Source organism: Homo sapiens, chromosome 14 (genome assembly GCF_000001405.40).
Source record: "Homo sapiens chromosome 14, GRCh38.p14 Primary Assembly".
In the NCBI taxonomy this organism is placed as follows: Eukaryota; Metazoa; Chordata; class Mammalia; order Primates; family Hominidae; genus Homo; species Homo sapiens.
In genome coordinates, this window is record NC_000014.9 from 83039756 (window position 1) to 83048579 (window position 8824).

An 8824-nucleotide genomic window follows, 5' to 3' on the forward strand; every position below is an offset into this window, starting at 1 on the left:
GCACCTTCTGGGGAGGTTTCAGCAAACTTACAATCATGGTGGAAAGCAAAAGGGTAGAAGGCACAGTCACCTGGCCAGAACAGGAGCAAGAGAGCAAAAAGGGAGATGCCACCAACTTTTAAATGACCATATCCCATGAGAATTCTCTCACTATTGTGAGAACAGCACCAAAAGGATGGTACTAAACCATTCATGAAAAGCCACCCACATGACCCAATCACCTCCCACCAGCCCCCACCTCTTACATTGGAGATTACAATTTGACATGAGATTTGGCGGGGGATACATATCTAAACTATACTACACGGCATGTGTTCACCGGGCTATTCCATCCACACTGAAGCCCGGCAGGTTGACCAAGTCTTAAAGATTAGTCAGGCTTACTTACTCATGCCTATATACACTACCTATAGCATAAGTTTAATTAATCACTCAAAAATCACACATTGAAAATCTATTATGGTATATAACATATGATATTAGTATATTATATATACTAATAGTTATCTGATGTTCTGTTACAAAATTATATTACAAAATATAACAAATAGTCAAGAGATAAGATCACTCTTGAAATATATGGTACGCTGTTATTGACGAAATAGCTAAAGGAATTTATTTTTTTCTTCTCAAGAAGCAATACCTAAAGATTAATTTAAAAACAGTAGTTAAGTAGTTGGTTCAAGGTTGAATAAGAACAAAATAAGGCGTGGCTATCTATGATTTCCTTTTTAGCCTCTATGGAGTAGAATAACTAAAATCATAGATAGCTATTAAACGGCACGTAAAAATATTCCTGAGAACAACAGAAGCCAAACGTAGGGAACATTCTCTGGATAAAGAAAGAAATGGAACAAAATATATTAATAAAATTGTCCTTCCCTGCAAGTGAGAAATTAGACTAAATGTTTCCTCTTTACAAGCGTTGTTGGCATGACTCCACCTAACACTAGTTGTTTTCCTATATTGTACCAAAAAGTAAATGCCTTAGGAAGGAAATAATTGATAACATTTAAGAATAGTTAAAATTTTGCTGGTGTACAAGTCTAATGGTTCAATAGAACTATTAAATATTTGGGTTAATATTTTTCTTATGATCATGTGATTCCAATATAAATTATGTAGCTGAAAAGGCTGATAGCTCTGGCACACAAATATTTACCTCCAGTGCTGTGATTTTACAGGTGTTAGGATGTGATGCTACAACTTTATATCATTTTTATACTTTTAAATTTTTATATGCTTAAAAAAATACTTTAATCCAACATCTTTTGACAATTTTGCTTTGCTATTCACTAACGTGGATGAAGTTTCAGGCATTTTGAACTTTTACCTTCCCCAGGGGTTGTCTGGGGCTTGGACAGCTGAGACTTTTTTATTTTTGAGGGGCCATGAATATACTAAATCATGTATTTGATTTAAAGCTCTGAGGTTTAAAATAAAGTGTGAGACTCTTAGTGCTAGGGAGCTTCTCAGCATGAGCAAAATTTAGTAATAATAGAATGGATGAGCCACAACAGGTCCGAAGCTTAGCATAAGTAAGTATGCAAGATCTTGTATGCTTATTCTAACTTCTTTATTTTGGAAATGAACCAAGAACACCCTCCTCTGGGGGATTACCAGTATTCAGTAACTCAGTAGTGGTGAGAAAAATTATGAGAATCTGATTGCCATGTAACCTTCTTAGCTGTTAGCCCCAATTGCCATCACCATGCAGTTTCAAGAGTGTTTTCAGTTCACAGCAACGCAGGTTTCCAGTTTGTTCATGATTCTCAAAATGATTCAAGAGACTTCTTTCTAAGTGTATTTTCCATTAATATGATGTATCTTTAACTCCTTTTCTTTTTACTGTGCCTGCCTTCTCAGTAGGAACTCTTCTGTCAGACATCCAACAAAATCATATTTTAATCACATTTATAATGTCCTCCTGTAGTTGGGGAATAGCAGACATTGAACTGACTGACTTAAAGGTGAAAGAGAAAATTAGGCTTTGCCTCCCTTAAAGCAGGAGTACATTCCTACCATAATGACATTTTCAGATTGCTCTGCACTTATAAATAACACCAGTTCACATCAGGTATATGCACTAGGCAGTCCTTCTCCAAGTGATGAAACAAATTCTTCTCCACACAACATTCAATAATCCAGTATCCAATTCTTTTATTTCTATTTGTGACCTATAACTCAAACATGCCAGAGTCTGTATGTAAAGTAATTAAAATGAAATAGAATTGAGGTTAAATTAGTCCCTTTGCAAAGGATCCATTTTGGCAGTATAAATAACATGTAACAGATTTGTGTTAGATGCACAAAATAGGCAGAAATTTAAGAAAAGATAACATTTTATATATTAGCCTAAATTAAAGTAAGAAATAGAGGAGAGAATGAGAGTAAGAAAGTGTGTGTGTGAGTGTGTGTGTATGTGTGTGAAAGAGAAAGAGAAAGAGAGAAAGAGAGAGAAGGAAGAGATAAGAGAGAATAAGTTACCTAAGAGCATTGGCTCTGTAAAGTTTAGTGGATAAAAGATTTGAACCAAGTAAGAGCAAATTTTTAAAAAATTAGCACTTTTTATGGAAGAAAACCCATAATCCTAGACACTGAGACATCACTGAAATTGCTCCATTTTGATATTCTGTGAAACAGAACTAATGATTTCAAAAGCTTGAGTCTTTCCTGTATATTACAAAAAGAAAGGGGTGGAGAAGGAAAATCAGATCAAAGGAAAAGGATGAGAAGTTCAGTAATCATTGAACCTTAGGAAATCAGGAACCCCAGAAAAAAATCAAACCTGAATGTACATGGCACAGAGACCAAACAACATTCACAGTTTCATTTGTTAATGCTATGTAACTCATGTATCTACTATTAGATACATGAAGAGATATATCTTATTTCAGAAAAAAAATGAGATTAAGCATTAATTATCATCAGAACTTCAGTTTAACAAATTTTCTTCTTTTTCTTTTCTAGACTGTTCTAATAAGCTATTAGTTGCCATTTGGAAGTCAATAACAGCCTTTACAAGTATATAATCATATATGTTATTCTGGGCTGCTATGACAGAATACCATAGATTAACAATAGAACAGTGACTTAAACAATATAAAATTGTTTCTCACAATTCTAGAGGCTAGGAAGTCCAAAATCAAGGCCAGGAAGATTCAGTGTCTGGTGAGGGCCTACATCATAGTTTGCAGGTGGCTATCTTCACCTTGTATTCCCATTTTGTCTAGAAAGTTATCATCTCTCTCATGTTTCTCTTCATAAGGGCACTAAACTCATTGTTGAGGGCTCTGTCCCTATGACGTAATCACCTCTCAAAGTCCCCATTTCCTAATTCATCACAATGGGAGTTATTATTTCAATATAGGAATTTTGTGGGGACACAAATATTTGGTCCATAGCACATGATTTTTAATAGTTATAATTCTTATCATTCAGGCAATACTTTATAATAGATTTTTAGCTTTAGAGGCAGAAATGATATCGTGTTTTACTGCTGACCCATAGATGGGTTAGAATTTTTAAATTAATGACTAATTTGTGAAGACTTTACAGTAACTAATTATTCCCCATGTATCTATATAAAATCTGCAAGCAGCTTGGGACTAGTAGTCATGTTTTACAATTTTTCATTGTTGTTTCCATGACAACCCCCATAGTGCAAGATAAAAAGTGGGGATTTATGAAACATATTGCATTCTCTATTAGAATAAAGATCTAGTATTATAACAAATAGATAAAGGAAAAAACTTTAATATGCATTTCTTATTGAATTATTTCCCAAAAATATGCTTCTGATCTTAAAAAATAATTAAACTTACACATCCAAGCAAGCTGGAGTAACAGGAAACAAATTTACCTCTTTGCCTGAAATAAAAAACTAAAAAACGATACAGAAGAAATTATGAAACAATGGTTTTTATACATGTGAAAATAACTGGTGCAAGATAATAATTCCCAAGAGAAGGGAAATTAAGTTATGTGGATCATTTATCCTAGGCTAATGGCTAGAAAGTGTTTTCAATTCACAGTTCAGAGAGAGGAAACACACAACACACAACACACACACACACACACACACACACACACACACACAGAGAGAGAGAGAGAGAGAGAGAGAGAGAGAGGTCCTAGCAGTTACCCAAAGTGAATAAGATAGAGTTTTAAGTCCTGGGAGGTCAAGGCAGGTAGAATTCATAAGATAGAGTATTGCAGAAAACATTCCGCAAAGAGAATGTTATAGAAATCTTCAGAGTGATCCTCATTAGTCTTTGGCTGAATACAGATTAATAGATGGATATATGGAGACTGAGTTCAGAAAATGAAACAACTGAAAGGATGAGAGGCCCAATTCCACAGAAAGAACACTGGACTGAGAGTAGTCTGTGTTCTCACCTGCCATAGGTGTAAAAATACCTGTGAATTCCTGAGATGTTAGTAAGAATACTCAGATGGGTATAGCCTCATTAGAGCAGAAAAATAGCCTTAGGGTAAGGGCTACTCTGAGTCTACCTAAGAAAGCTTATATCAAGCATTAAAAGGATCAAAGTGTTCCCAAATAACTTAACTCTATCCCAGAATAGAGTTCAAGAATATTTATAGAAAAGAAAAATATCTAACAGCCAACGATGTAAGATTCCAATGTCTGTCATCAAATACAAAAATTGCCAGGAGTGCAAAGAAGCAGGAAATACAGCTCACTATGAGAAAAAATATAGCAATTAATAGAAACAGACATGAATTTTATAGGCAATATCATTAATAGGCAAGGGCACTAAAATATTTATTAGAAGTATGTAAGATATGTTCAAGAATATAAAGAAAAGTTTAAGCAGAGGAATGGAAGACATAAAACATAAAAATTAAGCTTCTAGGATGAAACCTAAAATATATGAGATGGAAAATATATTGAATAGAATCACACCTGATGAAGCACTGGAAAAGAAAAGGTTATTGAAATTGAAAACATGCCAGATATTATGCAAAATAAAACAGAAAAATAAATTGAATATTAGTAAGTTCTAGGAAAACTTTAATTAAGCTAATATAGTAATTGGAATCCCCGAAGGAGGTAAGAGAGAAGAGGAACAGAAAAAAATACGAAGATACACTCACCGAAAATTTCCCAAATTTGATGAAAACCATAAACCCACAGATTTAAGCTCAATGATCTCCAAGTCTGTAAAACAAGAAGAAAACCACAAAGCAACCCTAATGAAGTTACTTAAAACCAGTAATGAAGAAAAAATCTTAAAAACAAACAGGAAAAAATACATTATCTAGAGTATCAAAGATAAGAATGATAGCATACTTCTTGGCAGAAACAATATAAGCTAGAATACAATGGAGAAACATCTTTAAAGTAATGAGAGAGCAAAACTGACAATGTAGAATCCTATACCCAGTAAAAATAGCTTTCAAAAGTAAAGGTAGAAAGAAAAAACATATTTAAAAAACTGAAATAATGTAATCGTATCAAAGCTGAAATAATTTAATGTTATTATTAATATTAAAGATTAATATTTAATAGTATCAATTATAAGCAATATTAAGAAAGTCTATTTAGAAGAAAAAATAATATCAAATGGAAATCTGAATCTGCATAAAAGATTAAAGAACACCAGAAATGATAGATACAGATACAGACATAAAATTTTAATTTCTATGTAATAACTAACTGTTGAAAGAGAAAATAGGAATGTATTGTAATGTTTGTAAGACACGTAGAAGTAAAATTGTGAGAAAAATAGCACAGATGTCATAAAGGGGACTACAACTTGTCCCGTTGTAAGTTTTTTACACTCTATATAAAAAGATGCAAAATTCTGTAAAAGGAGATTGTGATGAATTCAAGAGATATACTATAAACCATGAAGCAACACTAAAGTACCATGACAAAAATTTACAACTACTAACTAGTAGAAGAAAATATTGAATCATAAAAATATTTAATTAATCCTAAAGGTGACAGAAGTAGAGAAAAACAAAGGAACAAAAATCATATAGGGTCACCAAGTCTAGAGATCTAATGCGTAACATGAGGACAATAGTTAATAAAATTGTACTGTACTAGCAATTTCTGCTAAATAAGTAGATTTTAGCTGCTCTTCCCACAAAAAAGGACAGCTATGTGAGATAATGGATATGTTAATCTGCTTCATTTTAGTAATCATTTTACTGTCTATCTGTCTCTTGTAACATCTTGTTGTACACCTTAACATACACAATAAAGTTTATGTTTAAAAAATTTTAAACATTGTTTTTTTTTTTGAGACAGAGTCTCGGTCTGTCACCCAGGCTGGAGTGCAGTGGCGTGATCTTGGCTCACTGCAACCTCTGCCTCCAGGTTCAGTCGATTCTCCTATCTCAGCCTCCTGAGTAGCTGGGACTACAGGCGCCCACCATTACACCCAGCTAATTTTTGTATTTTTAGTAGAGACGGGGTTACACCATGTTGGGCAAGATGGTCTCGATCTCTTGATCTCATGATCCGCCTGCCTTGGCCTCCCAAAGTGCTGGGATTACAGGCGTGAGCCACCGAGCATTGCCAAAAAATTTAAAACATTTTAAAAAGATTATGTGGGACAAGTAAAAACCAAATAGTAAGATAGCAGTTTTATGCTTAACCATATTAATCTTGACAGTAAGTGAAAATAGTGTGTCATGATTAAAAGGAAGATAATTTTAGATTGAATACAAAAGAAAAACCTAACTATATGCTGCCTAAAAGAAATCCATTTTAAATATAAAGATAAAATAAGTAAATGGTAAAGGAATTTAAATATATATACCGTAGCTAATACTAATTAAAATAAATTAAAATCATGCTGGAGTGGCTACATTAATATCAAACTATGTAACTGTGAAATTATATATATATATATATATATTCTTTAGAGAGAGAGAGAGATAATAGATGATAGATAGATAAATAGGCAGATAGATAGATCTTTGCCCTTGCTTCCTGAAACATAGCTTTTAAAACTCTTCCAGATAGTGGTGTGGGAAGAATCCATTGATAAAATTTTTCATCTTTGATCCTGGGTTTCTGTTACAGAGTTACAGAATTTTTTTGAATTTCTGGATTGATAGGAGTGTCTTTTGTTCTAATGGTTCTTGATGACTCTTGGTGGGCTCTTAGATGGGAGCTCATCACCAGAAAGGCCAAGCCATAATTAGAAGTTGGGAATTTTCAGCCCCACTTTTCATGCGCTTTTGGAAGAAGAGAGAGGCTGGAGATTTAGTTAATAATAGATTATGCCTATGTGATGAAGTCTCCATGAAAATCTGTAAGTTGAAGGGAGTGTAGAGAGCTTATGGGTTGCAGAACATGTGGAGGTGCTAGGAGGGTTGGGGATGGAGAGCAGAGGTAGGGATTTTAAAGACAGGTGTGAGGGAACTTACACCCACACAGAGATGGGCTCTGATGTGCACACACAGTAAGAGCTCAAATAAGTCCTTGCACCCATGTGATGACCATTGGAGCTGCTCCCTCTCCCAGGCAACAGCTAGTCTCCATCTGTTCTTGCCTTATGTCTTTTTAAGAAGTCCCTGAATAGAAAAGTCTTATGCTTAAGCTCAAACAGGGTGTTCTTTATTAGCTGAACTTTGGAATAAGAGACAGAAAAAGAGCTGAAGTCATGTACCTCAAGCCAACTCCATAATTCATATGGGCACAAAATATTCCAGAGATCACAGCAGTTCAAGCTACACATAGCAGTAACTCACCAAGTCAGGTTTTTTAATTATCTCAAAAACGTGAATCAACACTGAGTACTATCAAAAGCAAAATGAATGTACATTAATCACAGAATATTTTAGTCACATGGCATCTTTCATCCCAGAAAAGGTCACAACCCATGGGTCTGTTTCTCATCACACTTAACCTGAGGAAACAAGAGAGCAAGTAGCTTTGAAGAGATTGAATGGGAAAATGTTGAGTGTTTAATCTAGACAGGGCTACACAATTGTTGCAAAAAGCAAATGCTTTCTCTTACTGGGTCTTGTTTCTAGAGTTGCCGTATTTGCTTCCCCCCAGTGATAAAGAAATGGACAACAGCTTATATGTATGTTCATTAAGAACATGGGTGAAAAGTCTTGAGAGAAACTTATAACTAGTATATTTTATAGTATATACACTATAGTATATACCAGAATATTTTTATAGTATATATATTACAAAATAGACTACCTAATAGAATATTATTAAAATTATTATTATTTCTGCCAAAAATGAGTATGTTTACTGTACTGAGTACTTGATTTATTATTTCTGGCAATACATTCATGGGAAATCAAGCACACTATGCATCACTCATGGTACTGATGAACTGATGATTTAGACTAAACAGATCATTATTACCTTTTCTTGCTCTTCAAACTGGGGTCTGGGTAAAATATTATCTATTTCTTTCTACCTTCATGGTAAAATGAGCCAAAGGAAAGATTGAGGCATAATAGAAAAATGCTATTCTCCTGAGGCATTACATTTTCTACAATAAATATTATCCAATCGTTTTTTCAGATAAAAGCATTTATTTTCAAACAATACTCACTAAAACTTTTGTACTTTTAAATATTTACTCCAAGCCTTCTGCAAATAAAGAAGTATTTTCCCTCAGTAAATCAAATTCTCTGTTGAGTTTCTGAATTGCTTTCATTACTTATACATATTAGAATTTCATTCCAGGATTTCATTGTGAAAAAATTATTGAAAAGTATTTGAAAATTGTTCTATTAAAACAAAGATGCATGTGATAGTAGAAAAAAAGCATACATTCATTTGCTTTTACAGGTCAATGAAAATTTGAAAGAAATTTTG